This window comes from Homo sapiens, chromosome 3 (genome assembly GCF_000001405.40).
Source record: "Homo sapiens chromosome 3, GRCh38.p14 Primary Assembly".
Classification (NCBI taxonomy): Eukaryota; Metazoa; Chordata; class Mammalia; order Primates; family Hominidae; genus Homo; species Homo sapiens.
The window spans coordinates 44625036-44641381 of NC_000003.12; the positions used below are offsets into that span (position 1 = coordinate 44625036).

Below are 16346 nucleotides of genomic sequence, written 5' to 3' on the forward strand. Positions count from 1 at the left end.
CATTATTCTGTGCCTCGGCTGCCGGAAGGGCTCGTTCCTGTGTCATCTCCTAGCGGCCTGGCGCCGAGGCGGCGGTACGCAAGGCTGGAGCCGCAGCGGGAGCCCCCGGTGAGCGGGGTGGGCTCGGGGGCGGGTGGGCGTGCAGGGAAGGCGGCCCGGGACGCGGGCCTGAGCTTGCTGGGACTGCACAGCCCTCGGTAGCCTCTCCCGGGCCCTGACCCCCGGCATGGTCCGTCGCCAGCTTCGTGTTGGGGTTCGACGTCGTGGCCTCGGCTGGGCAGGCAGCCGGCCCGAGGGAAGTACTGAGGACAGCAGCTCCGAGTCTGTGTGTGTTTGTGGACCGGTGCTCCTGTCTAACGGACTCTGCTGGCGCTTTGAGAAGAGCTGCCTCAGTAGCCTGCTCCCCCAGCTCAGGCCTTTCTGCTCTTCCTCAGTCTTGTCTGAGGCTAATCCACAGAAACATTCTGAGGTTTCCCTATTACCGGTGGCGCCCAGACTCTTGAGGACGGATTTTTTTGTTTGTTTGTTTTAAGGGGTGGAACGATTTTAGCTTTTTTAGTCTTTTAGTTTTGTAATATAATGGTATTTAAAAATCAAACTTGAAAAACTCAAACTTGAAACCACCCATACCAACATTACTTCAGGCAATACATTTTAACACAAAGTACTAAGACCGTAAACTCAGAATAAATGCTGGCCTTTGCGCGCGCGCGCGCACACACACACACACACACACACACACACACACACACTCATTGCCAACCTGTCAGCGACGATTGTTACTGGTTTTCTCTTTTTGCAGCTTACCAGATTAAAGCTTTGTCGTGGACTGGTGTTTGGAAACTGTTGTTTTAGAACAGTTTGGGTTGTTTGGGTTTCATAAGTTTCTTCGTAGATGGAATTGTTTTGGACTTCTGGAATTAGAATCCCTGAATTCAGAATTTGCTCCCATGTCTCAGTTAGCTAAGTGGCCTTGAGTGGATTCGCTCCTCTGATCCTTTTGTTTTTTTTAACTTCTGCTTTGAAAACCTTTTGTGAGAAGCTAATAAAATGTATGTTTAAGAATTTGTTATTTTTATGTTATTTGAAAATTATTCAAAATTCTTTTTAAAAATTCCTTTCCATCACCCCCAGATCAGTTACCAAGGACTACCAAGTTTTTCTCAATTGCCTTATCCCTACTTCGTTTAGAACTTAAGTCATGTGTTTAGACTATTAGAAAAACCTAACTGACCTTTCTTGATATCCAGCCCTCCCACCCCCACCATTTCTCACTAATAGAGTCCTGACACCACTTAAGACTCTCTTCATGCTCAGAGTGAAAAAGGTCTTTCTAATTGTGGTACAGTACCCAGAAGTCGTAAAAGATTGACTGCATGGCAAAAAACACTTTAAGCAAAGTCACATGGCATATATAGTCACAAAGACACTTGACAAACTGAGAAAAATTTGCAGCTGCCATTGTAAACAAAGGACTAATTTTCCTGTGATAAAAGTGTGTACAAATTAACAAGACCCAACACCTCAATGGAAACATGGGCAAAATATATGAATAGTTACTTTAAAAAATATACAAATGACTCTATATTAATTCGTTCAAAATGCAAGTCAAAAATTTGGCGAAGAGCACAAACTTTGAGAAACATATTGGTGAAAGTGAGGAAAGGCACTCCCATACAGCTGTTTCTGATGGGAGTATAAATTATAAATTGGTTCAATCCTAGTGAGGTCAAATTGGCAATATCAAAATTATACATGTATATACCTTTTAACTCAGCAATTCTGATTCAAGGAATTTTTCTTATATATGCCTACACACATCCAAACTGATGTATGCCCAAGATTATTCATGATTATATTGTTGGTAATAAGAAATGATTGAAAACTACCCAAACATTCCATCAGTGCTGGCATGAATAAATTATGATACATCTATGCATCCATAAAAATGCGGAGAGGGGCTGTGTATTGACAGGAAAGATCTCTAAGACATATTATTGAGAAGAGGAAAATGTACCACGTCATTCATGGTGTCCTACCATTTGTGAAAAAAAGGGAACTAGAAAACAATATATGTACACACATATGCAGAAATAACTGGAAAGATAGATAAGAAGCTAACGGAGAAGGAAACTTTACACAGTATACATTTTATAATTTTAAATTTTGAACCAAGTGAATATATTACTATTTTTAAAAATAAGGAAAAATGTAAAGTAAAGCCTCTTTAATGCTGAAATGTAAGTAAAATCACTTCACTTACAGGACAGGATCATCTCCTCAGAATACTGCCTCTCAAGAGCAGTAGTTAGAATTTAACTTCTGTTCACCTCTCTGCTCTACTCCTACACTCTTGCCTCTGAAGTTTACTTTCCTTCTCTGGTCTTCCTTCACAGAGTTATGTGTCCTTCCTTGCTTTTGAAAATAGAGTTTCTTTCTTCCTGGAATGGCTTTCCTCATAGTCCAATGATCCTTTTATTTTTCCTTAAAAGCCCAATCCAAAAGTACCTTTCATGGCTGGGTATGGTGGCTCATGCCTGTAATCTCAGCACTTTGGGAGTCCAAGGCAGGCAGATCACGAGGTCAAGAGATTGAGACCATCCTGGCCAACATTGCGAAACCCCGTCTCTACCAAAAATACAAAAATTACCTGGGCATGGTGGTGCGAGCCTGTAGTACCAGCTGCCTGGAAAGCTGAGACAGGAAAATTGCTTGAACCTGTCAAGCAGAGGTTGCGCTGAGCCGAGATCATGCCACTGCACTCCAGCCTGGGTGACAGAGCGAGACTCCATCTCAAAAAAAAAAAAAAAAAGAAATTTCCTTTCATGAATCCTTTCTGTAGTTTTATGTTCTCCTATTACTTGTACTTAAACATTATATTGAAATTATGTTTATATTTCTGGCTCCCCTGTTTGTTATAAGCAAGCTCTCTTTAAGGGTCTGTGTGTTCAAATAAAGAGGATGTTTTCATATGTCACTGATGGTGATATAACTGTTATAACCTTAAAAGCTTAAAAATGTTTTTATCCTTCAGCCCAACAATTTTCTCCTAGGAGTTTATCCTGAAGAAATAAGCAGAGATGTAACTAAAAATTTGTTATCAAGGATAGCCGTTGTGACCTTATTAATAATAGGGGAAAGTTAGAATTTATCTATGATAATTAAACTATGGTAAGGACATAGTTCAGAATAATAGCAGTGATTGTTTTCTGGTTTTGTGTGTTTTCTGGTTTTATAATTAGAAAAATGTTATTTCTAAAGAGCAGATGATTTCTAGAGAGCAAGTCTAAGTTCTGTATAATAAAACTCTATTCATATTTATCCATCTGTGGGACTAGATGTGAAAGGAAAAGAAGAAAAGGCAAATTTATCCAAATATTTTGATTAACAGAAAGAACAATTTTCAGAGAATTAAAGGCATGTAGAGCAAAACTACACAGAACTTAATTCATCCTTTCTTTGTTAATTGAGGAGGTGGTTAGGATTTTCTCTCATATGTATCATGATTAATGATTACTTGTTAACTCTGCGGAACATAGGAAAGAGTACTAGTTACAGAAGGGTAATAAGTAACATTTAAACCCGTATACCAGGCACTGTTCAAAAACTTGAAATGTATTATACATCAAATTCTCATGACAACCCCATAAGGTAGGAACTGTTACTATCCCTATTTTACAGGTTAAGAAACTAAGGCTCAGAAGTGAGGTACTTGTTCCAGGTTACACAGGAGTAGTCAGGATGCTCATTGTTAGAGTGGTAAAGAGTCTATTGTAATTAGCTGAAGGGATCCTATGAACAAAGACCAAAGGAAGTTCATGTGTTTGGTTTCAGCAGTCTCGTGCGTAACATGAGTGTTTGTATCCCAGAGCCTTAGGCAGGGGGTTTCTGTCAGAGGAAGCACTCTCTAGAGCCTGGAACCTTGCACTCACAAAGGTTCTCTTTATTACTGGGAGCTGACTGGGAGCTGACTGGGGCCTGGAAAGCTCAGTTGTTTCTCTGGGCTAACTTTAACAATGATTTCTTGAGGTCTTGTAGATGATACTCTCCAAGCTGTAAGGAAGAAGTCAAGGATTAAGGAGACCTGGACTGGAGAGGAGCCTTTTTCAAAAAACAACAATGACAAGAGAAAATGTAGCCCACAATGCTCTGAGACAAGAGGGCCTTGTGAAGGGGAAGGATGATACCTGGAAATGGGGAACCAGCTTCCAAGGAAGTAGCTCCTCTGTTTGGGAGACCTCCCACCTACACTTTAGACAATTACGTTACCATGAGACATCTGGACCCCAGGAAGCCCTGAGCCGGCTCAGGGAACTCTGTCGCCGGTGGCTGAGACCAGAAGCACGCACCAAGGCACAGATCCTGGAGCTGCTGGTGCTGGAGCAGTTTCTGAGCATCCTGCCTGGGGAGATTCGGACCTGGGTACAGCTCCATCACCCTGGAAGTGGCGAGGAGGCTGTGGCCCTGGTAGAGGAGCTGCAGAAAGACCTTGATGGACCAGCAATACAAGTGAGAAAGACAGGGAGGGGCGGTGGGTGTTGGGATGAAAGGAAGGAAAGAATTGAGGCTAGGCTAGAGGGTGATCCTGTGATTTTCATTAAAAATTAATAGCATTAATAGCACACTAGCAACCTTAATGATAATTAAAGCAGGTCCATGAGTATTCAGACCATAGAATATGTCTGTAGAGAAACGGATTTACGTTGAGGTCTTCGGGTCCAACTGAGAAGCAGCATAAAAACATTGACTGTTTTGTCCCTTGGGTAATGCTTGCTAATGCTGAGTTTGGACCAAGAACCTGAAGAAGAAATGTTAATAAGTTTTTCCCTAAACAGAAGCCTATGTATTGTTTCTATAATTCTGTTTGGAATGGTGATGTAAGCCTAGAGTATAAAAGGCAATAGCAGGCCAGGCACAGTGGCTCATGCCACAGCATTTTGGGAGGCTGAGGTGGGAGGATCATTTGAGGCCAGGAGTTCAAGACCAGCCTGGACAACATGGGAAGACCCCATCTCTACAAAAAATTTAAAAATTAGCCAGATGTAGTGGCGAGTGCCTATAGTCCCAGCTACTTAGAAGGCTGAGGTGGGAGGATCACTTGAACCCAGGAGGTTGAGGCAGCAGTGAGCTATGATTACACCATTGCACTCCAGCCTGGGTGATGGAGTGAGATCCTGTCTTTAAATAAATAAATAAATAAAATGGCAGTAGCATAACAAGAATGAAGCTTTCCACATCTTGGTAAGATCTCCTCTTGTGTGCCCTACTAGGGATCTGCAAGCCAAGGGATTGGGTTAAGATATTTGCTTCTGATAAGATTTATATCCTTGACCATTAGATTGGGATCTTAATGTAGCCTCTCATGTGTGTGAGATTTCTTTTTGTACATCTGTAGCTCACTAGAAACATTTCTGTATAAGACGTCTGAATCATAACTCAAACTTGGGTGTGGCATTAAGGATGGGCTTGTTTCTTTTAATAATAACGTGAACAATTTTAGAGCTATATATTTCGTTACAAATTACTAATACATCCTCATTTGAGAGATAAGGAAACTGAGGCAGATGTCTAGCTGGCCGCAAAACCAAGTGTCTTGGTGCCAATTTTAGTGTTAGTTGTATTTGAGCACAAAGGGCTAGGTAAAGGGGTCAATAAGTAGATGGTAAATAAGTAGAAGAGATGTGACTGAAGTCCGATCTAAAACTTAAGTCTGAAGCTAAAATCCATGCTCTTAATTACTGCTTATTACTTCCCATTCCCTCCTTAACCCACACCCAGGTCTGGCTTCTGTTCCCACCGTTGTGTACAGTCTCCTCTGGGAGAGGTCACCAGTGCCATGAGTGGGGCTCGAGGGCAGCTCCATTGTTCTCAATGCAAAGCTTTACTGCTGTTTTGATGCTCCATACTTGAGGTGGGTCTCTCTGATCTCACAGTTGTAGATTGTGGGCAGAAAGAGGTCCACAGTGCTTAGGTGAGTCCATTTTCTTAAGAAACAAGAAGAGCTAGCTTATTTTACTTGTTTCCAGGTTCCAGTCCTTGTCAAGGATCAGGACACTCTCCAGAAGGTGGTGAGTGCCCCAGGAACAACACTTCCTCCTGTACTTCCTGGCAGCCACATAGCAGCTGAAATTTGCCCGCATCCTCCTACTGACCTAGTGGCATTCAACCTCCAGGATCCTCAGCATGGTATTTACTCAGTGCTCTGGGTTTTGGGCTGTTCAAGGACCCTTCCTGTGGCTCATCCCCCTACTTCCAGGGAGTTGCTTCCTCTGCTACCCTGTCTAGGAGTCTCTTACAGTGCCAATTTCTTTCTGCTGTTCTGTTGTTCTCTCCTTCTTTCTTGGGCCCCTCTGAGCTTGTATACATCCCCCCTTTTTTTTTTTGAGACGGAGTCTCGCTCTGTCGCCCAGGCTGGAGTGCAGTGGCGCGATCTCAGCTCACTGCAACCTCCGCCTCCTGGGTTTACGCCATTCTCCTACGTCAGCCTCCTGAGTAGCTGGGACTACAGGTGCCCGCCACTGTGCCCGGCTAGTTTTTTAATTTTTTTTTTAGTAGAAACGGGGTTTCACTGTGTTAGCCAAGATGGTCTTGATCTGACCTTGTGATCTGCCCGCCTTGGCCTCCCAAAGTGCTGGGATTACAGGTGTGAGCCACTGCACCCGGCCATTTTTGTTTTTTTTTTTTGAGATGGAGTCTCGCTCTGTTGCCAGGCTGGAGTGCAATGGCACAATCTCGGCTCACTGCAACCTCCGCCTCCCAGGTTCAAGCCATTCTCCTGCCTCAGCCTCCCGAGTACCTGGGACTACAGGCACGTGCCACCACGCCCAGCTAATTTTTTTGTATTTTTAGTAGAGACAGGGTTTCACCATGTTGGCCAGGATGGTCGTAATCTCTTGACCTTGGGAGCCACCCACCTCGGCTTCCCAAAGCTCTGGGATTACAGGTGTGAGCCACCACGCCCTGCCTTGTATCATTCTTACTGCTACTCTTTGTGTTATTCCAGCTCTGCAAGTGGGGTCACTCAGAAAAGGTTTGTAGGTCCCATATGCAGCTTTTTCTCCCTCCTCAGATTCTCCTGCCCCTGAAGCTTCTGCCCTTTCCCAGGAAGAGAACCCAAGAAATCAATTAATGGCACTTATGCTCCTAACAGCCCAGCCCCAGGTAAGGTTTGCATCCTCTTTCCTTCCCATCTGCACAGCGTAACTGTGGCTGAAGTGCCCTCTCTCATCCTTGTGCTTCAATGTCCAGTCAGTTCCCATTTCTAAATCAGGGTCTATGCTATTGGAAGACAGACTTTACATGTGATCTCCTTATGTCTCCCTGATGTCTGTTATGCACTCATGGCCTCACAGTGTATCCCTTCCCCAGAAGTGAAGGGAACCTTTCGACAGGCAAGTTCCTGGGCATTGGTAATCTCACACACACTTGTTATTTCAGGAGTTGGTGATGTTCGAGGAGGTGTCAGTATGCTTCACTTCAGAGGAATGGGCATGTCTGGGCCCAATCCAGAGGGCCTTGTACTGGGATGTGATGCTGGAGAATTATGGAAATGTGACCTCCCTAGGTAAGGATTCTTCTTTCTATGATGCTTACCTTTATTTCACCAGCCTTTATTTGTTTTCTGATTATAAAAGTAGCATATATGTATTTTGGAAAACACCGAATATTACAAAGAAGAAAAAAACCTTCCTTAACATCGCTATTTCCAGATAACTATTATCATTTTGATATATTACCTTTCTGTTTTTTCTATATGTTTGAGGGATTTTTTACATTGTTCCAAAGTGTGTGTGTGTGTGTGTCTGTGCACAGTTTTATAGCTTGCTTTCCTTGTGTGTGTTCTCACATGTTACAAACTCTTTGCAGTTATTATCTATATTGGCTATATGATTTGTACCATAATTCAGTCAGCCATTCCTTATTTTAGATAACTGCTATAATAATCATCTGTCTCTGTGCCTAAGGCCTTCTAAAATGTTTTATTATTTTTAGAGGTACAATTACTGGGCATAAGTGTTTGAATGGCTTTGAGGCTCTTGCTTCATATTGCCAAATTACTTTCTGTAGCGATCCCTGTCCTCTCTGTTCTTAGAAGTGGTGTATAAGAACACTCCTTTTGCTCTGCCTTCATTTGTACTGAGTAATCCCACAATTCTAAATTGTTGCTAATATATTTTTAAAGTTATATATATTCTAAAATAGATTTCTTTGATAAATAATAAAAGAATATTTCAAAACAATTTTTAGCCATTTTTGCTACCAGCAGACATTAAATACCTATCATGGTACAGCTGTGAAAATGATGTGATTCGGCCCTTAAATAGCTTACAATGGTTTAGGAGATGATTACAGAGATATTAAATATACAAGGCAGAGTAAAATAATTGGTACAAGAGTGGCATAAACCTGGTGTGACAGAAATGCAGAAAACGGGGCAATCAGTTTCATTCCTAGGGATTAGCAAAGGCCATAAAGGAGGTAGCATTTATACTGGAACTTGAAGAAAAGAGTAGAATTCTCTTTGGAGAAATCAACGTTCAGAACTGGGTAATCAGCCACAGGAACTAACTTTGACTGAAATACAGATTTACAGTATCAGTTTAAATGGCTGCAGAGTATTGCATGGTCTGTGTATCATGCTTTACATTGACAGCTTTATGATTCTGAATGTTTCTATTCAAGAACATTACATAACATTCCATTTTTTCTGTACTGCTTTTGTATGCATCGGGCATGTTTTAAAATTGCCTAGATCTTCCATATTTCTGGTAATATTTATTCTTTGGAATTGGAGTCTTTTCTGTATTTTCTAATTGACTGTCATTTGCATATATGAAAGTACTTTTTGTTTGTGTTAATTTTGTACCTAGCAACTTTATTTTATTATCTTTAATAATTTAAACTGTACATTTTCACACTTTTGAGACTGTATCCTTTAGTATCTCAGTAGTGGCAGTGGTGGGTGAAACAGTCTGTAGATTTTATACTTTGATACATATTACCAAATTATTTTCTACCAATGATACTTGAATTAAACTCCCACAGAAAGAACACACAGGAGAGCCAATTTTCCCTGGATATGCTCATGATTTGGTCAGTCTTTTAATTAAATCTTTGCTAGGTAGATGAAGAATACCATCTTTTGTTTGTTTTTCATGTTTTCATTATTAGTGTGATTGAAATCTCTTCATATGTTTATTGGTCATTTTACTCCTATTCATATACTTCCTATATATAGAACTACTGCTAATGCTTTGTCAGTTGTTGCATATGTTTTTCCCATTTGTTTGCCTTTCAATATTATTAATTTTTTTTAAGCCTTAGAAAATCCTTTATGTTGTCAAACTTGGCAGTATTTTCCTTTATGGTCTTAGTGGTCTTTTTCCTCATAAAATTATTTTGTAAACCCACCTGTATTCTATTTTTTTTTTTGAGATGGAGTTTCCACTTGTCGGCCAGGCTGGAGTGCAGTGGCGTGATCTCAGCTCACTGTAACCTCTGCCTCCTGGGTTCAAGCAATTCTCCTGCCTCAGCCTCCCAAGTAGCTGGGACTACAGGCATGCACCACCAGGCCCAGCTAATTTTTGTATTTTTAGTAGAGACGGGGTTTCGCCATGTTGGCCAGGCTGGTCTTAAACTCCTGACCTCAGGTGATCCACCCGCCTCAGCCTCCCAAAGTGCTGGGATTATAGGCGTGAGCCACCATACCCAGCTGTATTTTCTTATTTATCATTTTATTTTGACATTTAAGCTTTAATCCATCTTGATATTTATCAATATATCTTGATACATAGAATGACATAGACATCTTGTGGAGGGGTGTTATTGCTTTTTGAGATGGCAGCCTCACTATGCTGCCCAGGCTGGCCTCAAACTCCTGGCCTCAAGCAAACCTCCCACCCCAGCCTCCCAAGTAGCTGAGACTCTAGGCATGCACCACCCTCCAAGCTTGTTTTTTAATCCAAGTAGCTTTCAGTAGTTCCAAAGCTATTTACTCAATAATCAATCTTTCCTAAAAATTTTAAAATAGACTATATGGATTAATTGGCTAATTTTATGAAGAACACTCACCATGGACCCATACCTCATGCTGTATACTAAAATAAATTCCAGATAGGTCTAAGAGTTAAACTAAAAAAAAAAAAAAACCAATAAAATAATGTAATTGCTTGATTATTCTGGCTCTTTGAAGAAAAAGAAACTTGAACCTACTTTAATAAATTAAAAAAAAAATGTGCACTCCGATGTTGTTGGGGCTTCGGGCAAGCAGATGCCCAATGTTTATTCCCATTGACTTAGTAACTCTGATTTGAGATACATTAAAGAAATGGTTCAGAAAGAGGAAATAAAAGTTATATGTCTAAAAATAGTCCCAGGTAACTATGATGGTTAAAAGTTGGGCAAAACAAATTCCCTAAGGGTAAAGTACTAAGCAGAACATGGTGTTTTGACCTAATAGTATATTATGACACTATCAAATATTATGACAACTCTGTGTACTCAATTTTCATGCATCGATAAACTGTGGTAGAAAAGTAGACTCCCAGATAACTTGTACATACTACTTCAGTATGTAAAATATTTGTATATGTTTATTTAGGAGATTGGACTAAAACTTGAAGGAAAGTATTAAGAAATATTGAGTACCTCCCCTGTCAGGCTTAGCCCCTGCCTTAAAGTACATTCAGATTGGAGAGATAGACATTTCCACTTATAATTACAATACAATTTGGCACATTCTGTATAATAAAAGGGTGCATAAGTTTGTGTGAGCCCATAGGATCCTGGGAATGATGGAAGGATTGGGACAGTGGGAGGAGGAGATGGATGGTTCCCAGTTCCTCCACCAGGAAGGAAAGATTTATAACAGTTTTACTGAGGTATATTTAACATACCGTAAAATTCACCATTTAAAGTGTACAGTTCAGTGGTTATTGTGTATTCACAGAGTTGTGCAACCATCACCACAATAATTTTAAAACATTTTCGGCCGGCATGGTGGCTCATGCCTGTAATCCCAGCCGTTTGGGAGGCCAAGGCAGGCGGATCACGAGGTCAGGAGATCAAGACCATCCTGGCTAACACGGGGAAACCCCGTCTCTACTAAAAATACAAAAAAATTAGCCGGGTGTGGTGGCAGGTGCCTGTAGTCCCAGCTACTTGGGAGGCTGAGGCAGGAGAATGGCTTGAACCCGGGAGGCAGAGCTTGCAGTGAGCCGAGATTGTGCCATTGCACTCCAGCCTGGGCGACAGAGCAAGACTCCGTCTCAAAAAAAAAAAAAAAAAAAAATTTCATCAACCCCAAAAGGAACCTTGAACCCTTCAGCAGTCCACCTTCATTTCACCTAACTCATTCCTCCAATCCAGCCCTAGCAGGCACCAATCTACTTTCTACCTCTGTAGATTTGTGTATTTGAAACATTTCATATAAATGGAATCATGCAATATGTGGTCATTTGTGATTGGCTTCTTTTACTTAGCATAGTATTTCTAAGGCTCATCCATGTTGTATCAGGTATCAGTTCTTTATTCCTTTTTATTGCCAAATATTCCATTGAATGGATGTATCTCCCATTTATCAGTTGATAAATACTTAGGTACTTCCGCTTTTGGTCCATTATGAATAATGCTGCTATGAACGTTTGTGTATAATTTTTTGTGTGGATATATGTTTTCATTTCTACCTAGAAGTAGAATTGCTAGGTCTTATGATAACTCTGTATTTAATCATTTGAGGAACTTCCAGACTGTTTTCCAAAGCAACTGCACCATTTTACACTCCTTCCAGCAGCGTATAAGGGTTCCTGTTTCTCTGCATCATCCCTAACACTTGTTATTATCTGTCTTTTTTATTTTAACTATCCTAGTGGGTCTGAAATGATATCTCACTGTGGTTTTGATGTGCATTTACCTGATGGTTAATGATGTCAAGCAACTTTTTATGTTCTTATTGACTATATGTACGTCTTCGGAGAAAACTGTCTATTCAGATTCTTTGTCTATATTTTAACTAAGTTATTTGTCTTTTTATTACTAAGTTGTAAGAGTTCTTTATATATTCTATATATAAGTCCCGTAACAGATATATGACTTACAAATATTTTCTCCCATTCTGTGGGGTCTTGCCCTGTTGCCCAGGCTGGAGTGTAGTGGTGTGATCATAGCTTACTGCAGCCTTGAATTCCTGGGCTCAAGCGATCCTCTCACCTCAGCCTCCCAAGTGGCTGGGATTACAAATGCACCCCACCAGCCTGGCTAATTTTAAAATTTTTTGTAGAGACAGAGTCTTACCGTGTTGCCCAAGCTAGTCTTGAACTCCTGGCCTCAAGCGATCTTCCTGCCTCAGCCTCCCCAAGTGTTGGCATTACAGGCATGAGCCACTGGGCCTGGTGACTTTTCCCTTACTTGATGGTATCCTTTGAAGGACAAAAGTCATTAATTGTGATGAATTCCAGTTTTTTTTTTCTTTTGTTGCTTCTGCTTTTGGTGTCATATCTAAGAAACCATCACTAATCTAGGGCCGGGAAGATTTATGTCTATGTTTTCTTTTAAGTTTTAGCTCTTACATTTCGGTCTTTTATCCATTTTGAGTTAATTTTTTTATATAGTATGAGATAAGGATCCATCTTCATTCTTTTGCATGTGGCACCATTTATCCCAGGCACCATTTGTTGAAAAGACTGTGCTTTCCCCATTGCATTGTTTTGGCACCCTTTTAAAAAAGCAGTTGATCATAAATATCAGGGTTTATTTCTAAAGTCTCAAATCTAGTCCTTTGATCTATATGTCTACCCTTATGTCAGTATCACCCTCTTTTACTATTTTGGCTTCATGGTACATTTTGAAATAAAAAGGTGTGAGTCTTCCAACTATGTTCTTTTTCAAGATTGTTTTAGCTACTCTAGGTCTCTTGACTTTCCATCTAATTTTGGTATCAGCTGGTCAATATCTTTGAAGAAGCAAGCTGAGATTTTAGTAGGGATTGCAATGAATCTGTAGATCAATTTGAGGAGTACTGCCATTTATCAATGTTAAATCTTTTAATCTTTGAACATGAGGTTTCTTTCCATTTATTTAGGCCTTCAGCTTCTTTCAGTAATGTTTTGTAGTTTTCAGAATATAAGAATATAAGTTTTTCACTTCTTTTGTTAAATTTATCCTAATCTTATTGTTTGAGACTATTATAAATGTTTTATTAATTTTCTTTGTGGATTATTTAATACTAATGCATAGAAATACCACTTTTTTTTTTTAATGCGATGGGGTTTTATACGTTTCTCAGGCTGACCTTGAGCTCCTGGGCTCAAGCAGTCCTCAGCCTAAATCTACTGAATAGCTTTGACTACAGGTGTGTGCCACTATGTCAGGCTGATTTTTATATGTTGAGCTTGTATCCTGCAATCTTGCTGTATTTATATATTAGTTTTAATAGCTTTTTAGTGATTTCCAAGGATTGTCTATATGCAAGATTTTGTCATCTGCAAATAGAGATAATTTTACTTCTTCCTTTACAATCTGGATGCCTTTTATTTCTTTCTCTTGCCTAATTGCTCTGGCTAGAACCTCCAGTACATGTTGACTAGAAGTGGCAAGAGCAGACAGCCTTTTCTTGTTCTTGTCCTTAGAGAGAACACATTCAGTCTTTCACCATGAAATATAATTTATTTTAATTTTTTTGAACAGTGTCTTACTCTGTTGCCCAGACTAGAGTGCAGTGGCGTGATCACGGCTCACTACATCCTCAACTTCCTGGGCTGAAGTAATCCTCCTAATCCTGTTATCTCAGCCTCCCACATATCTAGGACCACAGGCACACACCAAGCTAATTATTTGTTTTTATTTTAATTTTATTTTTTTCTGTAAAGACAGTGTCTCACCATGTTCCCCAAGCTGGTCTCAAACTCTTGGCCTCAAGCAATCCACCTACCTTGGCTTGCCAAAGCACTGGGATTACAGGCATGAGCCACTGTGCCTGGCCAGAAATTCTATTCCTACTTTGTTGAGTGTTTTTATCACCATGGAGTGTTTTATCTATTGTCATGATGATGTGGTTTTTGTTTTTCATTTCGTTGATATGGTGTATTACATCAATTGGTTTCCTAGTGTTATACCAACATTATTTTCCTGTGATAAATCTCACCTGGTCATGGTGTATAATTCTTTTTATGTCCTGCTAGATTTGGTTAGTTAGCATTTTGTTGAGGATTTTTATGTTTGTATTCATAAGCTATATTTATCTATAGTTTTCTTTTTTGTGATGGTTATGTCTGGTTTTGCTATCAGGGCAACACTGGCTTCATAGAATTAGTTGGGAAATGTTTCTGTTTATTGGAAGAATTTGTGAAGAAATGGTATTCTTTTAAGGTTTGGTAGAATTTGCCAGTGAAGCAGCCTGGGCCTGGGCTTTTTGTGTGCAGGCAGGGGGTGGGGGTAATTTTTTTTTTTTTTAATTATTGATTCAATTTCTTTCCCTGTTGTAGATCTACTCAGATTTTCCATTTTTTTTCTTGAGTCAGTTTTAGTAATTTGTGCCTTTCTAGGAATTTGCCTATTTCATCTAAGTTGTCTTAATTTATTGGCACAGTATCATTGATAGTATCATTTATACTCCTTTTTATTTTTTTAAGATCAATGTTAATGTCCAGAGAGTGACTTTAGAACTTAGTTTTAAAGGGTGTAGGTACGGGCTTAGGTAGTGAGTTGGAAAGAAGAAGAGCAATTCAGGAAGAGGAAAGGACACGGACAGTGATAGGCAAGAAATGACATGTTTGGGCAGCTGCATGTAGTTCAGTGTGGCTAGAGTCTAGGGGCATAAGAGATACTGATGATAGTTGATACCAGAAAAACAGGCAGTGGGTGAAGATACCCCTTTGACTCCACTGGTTATTTCTGCTTTGTCCTGTAGGCAATGAAGAGTTAGGTGTTTTGTGCAGGTAAGTGACAGGATCAAATTTACCTATCGGAAAGATCATTGACAGAAGATAGGCATGGATTAGGGCAGATGAAAGGCGGGGGGTGTCAGTGGTAGGAAAGCCTGTGTCTCTTTCTTGCAGGCTTCATTCACCAAAGGTTATGGAAAGTAACCAGCTCCCTCTGTCATTCTGACATTTTTCTACAAAGTCTTAAAAAGCTCAAGAGGCCCATATATAGTCTGATTCCTAAGCTAAAAATATTAAATAGTTTAACCAGCTAATTAGCTACTGATACAAGAGTTGCTAATTTCTTAACCATTTTCCATCTCAGTTTAACTACTTGTAACACTTCATTTCCTTATATAGAAATGTTTCATTATATAGAAGCAGCCCTCCTCTCCATCAGCATTCTCTTTGTTTTTTGTTTGTTTTGTTCTTGTTTTGTTTTGAGATGGAGTCTTGCTCTGTCACCCAGGCTGGAATGCAGTGGTGTGATCTCGGCTCACTGCAACCTCTACCTCCCTGGTTCAAGTGATTCTCCTGCCTCAGCCTCCTGAGTAGCTGGAATTACAGGTGTGCACCACCATGCCCAGCTAATTTTTGTATTTTTGGTAGAGACAGGGTTTCACCATGTTGGCCAGGCTGGTCTCAAAGTCCTGACCTCAAGTGATCCGCCCTCCTCAGCCTCCCAGAGTGCTGGAATTACAGGCATGAGCCACCATGCCCGGCCTCTCCTTATGTTTGAAACCTCACTGTGAATAAGGAAACTGAAGTACCAGCATTAGATAGGCTTAAGACACATACCCATCCCTGCAGCCAGGTGGTTGGGTAGTGTGACTGGCAGTCCTGCCTGAGTCCTAGAGAGAAGGGCAGTTGAGATGAGATATGAGGGCCTGACCTAAGAATGTCTGTAGTTCAAGTTAATATTTGTTGGATATTTGCCATCCTCATCCTTTCATAAACTTAAAGAAATGTATAATGAAATAAAATGGCTGCACTCTTGTCTTCTCTCTCTGTTTAGATAGAAGAAAAGTATTGTTATATTCAAAGAGAAGATGATGTTACTGCTATTCACATAACTTTACTTATTAGACAGTTTGGGGGAACTGGCTCATAATTTCTCTCACACTTGGGTAGTTTGAAAGTAAACTTCCAAAACATTTTCATACTGTTCATACTTTAAAATATTTGAGAATATTGGAGTAGATAGGAACCTTGGATATTAGTTTAGCCTCATCATTTTACAGATGTTTTCATACTTTTATTCTATTTTCCCTTTTCTTTTCTGTATTTCTTCTCTTACCTTTTATGTGTAATTAAGGGAGTTCATAACAGACCTGACTATTTAAAATGAATTTTAAAATTTCCATTTCTTAATTTTAAACGGAGTAGGAGTTATATGAATTCTAAGAATTAAGTTGCTTTTCAATGGAT

The 16346-nt window shown here is 40.0% G+C and overlaps 2 protein-coding genes and 1 long non-coding RNA gene across 14 annotated transcripts in view, besides 2 other annotated features; 2 read left to right on the forward strand and 1 right to left on the reverse strand.

The window, feature by feature from the left end:
* ZKSCAN7-AS1 (ZKSCAN7 ZNF cluster antisense RNA 1) overlaps positions 1 to 16346 on the reverse strand; it is a 128297-nt gene that overhangs the window by 67679 nt on the left and 44272 nt on the right. The gene's annotated exons all lie outside the window — the stretch shown is intronic.
* The window catches only part of ZNF660-ZNF197 (ZNF660-ZNF197 readthrough), a 63508-nt gene that overhangs the window by 40072 nt on the left and 7090 nt on the right, over positions 1 to 16346 (forward strand). For 2 of the 6 annotated variants that reach the window (NR_147692.2, NR_147691.2), the window contains exons 3-7: positions 4039 to 4509; positions 5779 to 5911; positions 6027 to 6186; positions 7070 to 7161; positions 7438 to 7564. Coding sequence is in view for 4 of the 6 variants with exons in the window: in NM_001351733.2 (NP_001338662.1) it covers positions 4120 to 4509; positions 6027 to 6186; positions 7070 to 7161; positions 7438 to 7564 (769 nt within the window). In the remaining 2 variants the exon portion in view is untranslated. Of the gene's footprint in view, positions 1 to 4029; positions 4510 to 5778; positions 5912 to 6026; positions 6187 to 7069; positions 7162 to 7437; positions 7565 to 16346 lie in introns of all 6 variants that reach the window. The other 4 variants (NM_001351733.2, NM_001351735.2, NM_001351732.2 and 1 more) reach the window with 2 other exon arrangements.
* ZNF197 (zinc finger protein 197) overlaps positions 1 to 16346 on the forward strand; it is a 23436-nt gene continuing 7090 nt past the window's right edge. For 2 of the 7 annotated variants that reach the window (NR_136582.2, NM_001323295.2), the window contains exons 1-6: positions 1 to 108; positions 4039 to 4509; positions 5779 to 5911; positions 6027 to 6186; positions 7070 to 7161; positions 7438 to 7564. Coding sequence is in view for 6 of the 7 variants with exons in the window: in NM_001323295.2 (NP_001310224.1) it covers positions 7129 to 7161; positions 7438 to 7564 (160 nt within the window). In the remaining variant the exon portion in view is untranslated. Of the gene's footprint in view, positions 109 to 4029; positions 4510 to 5778; positions 5912 to 6026; positions 6187 to 7069; positions 7162 to 7437; positions 7565 to 16346 lie in introns of all 7 variants that reach the window. The other 5 variants (NM_001323293.2, NM_001024855.3, NM_006991.5 and 2 more) reach the window with 3 other exon arrangements.
* Positions 5 to 354: a silencer, noted in NCBI's record as "silent region_14270". NCBI's record gives its function as "represses an Ori minimal core promoter by ATAC-STARR-seq in GM12878 lymphoblastoid cells {active_cell/tissue: GM12878}" and the evidence as "EXISTENCE:reporter gene assay evidence [ECO:0000049][PMID:35858748]".
* Positions 334 to 836: an enhancer, noted in NCBI's record as "H3K27ac hESC enhancer chr3:44666861-44667363 (GRCh37/hg19 assembly coordinates)". NCBI's record gives its function as "activates a minimal SCP1, AML or CMV promoter by ChIP-STARR-seq in naive H9 embryonic stem cells {active_cell/tissue: H9 hESC(naive)}" and the evidence as "EXISTENCE:reporter gene assay evidence [ECO:0000049][PMID:30033119]".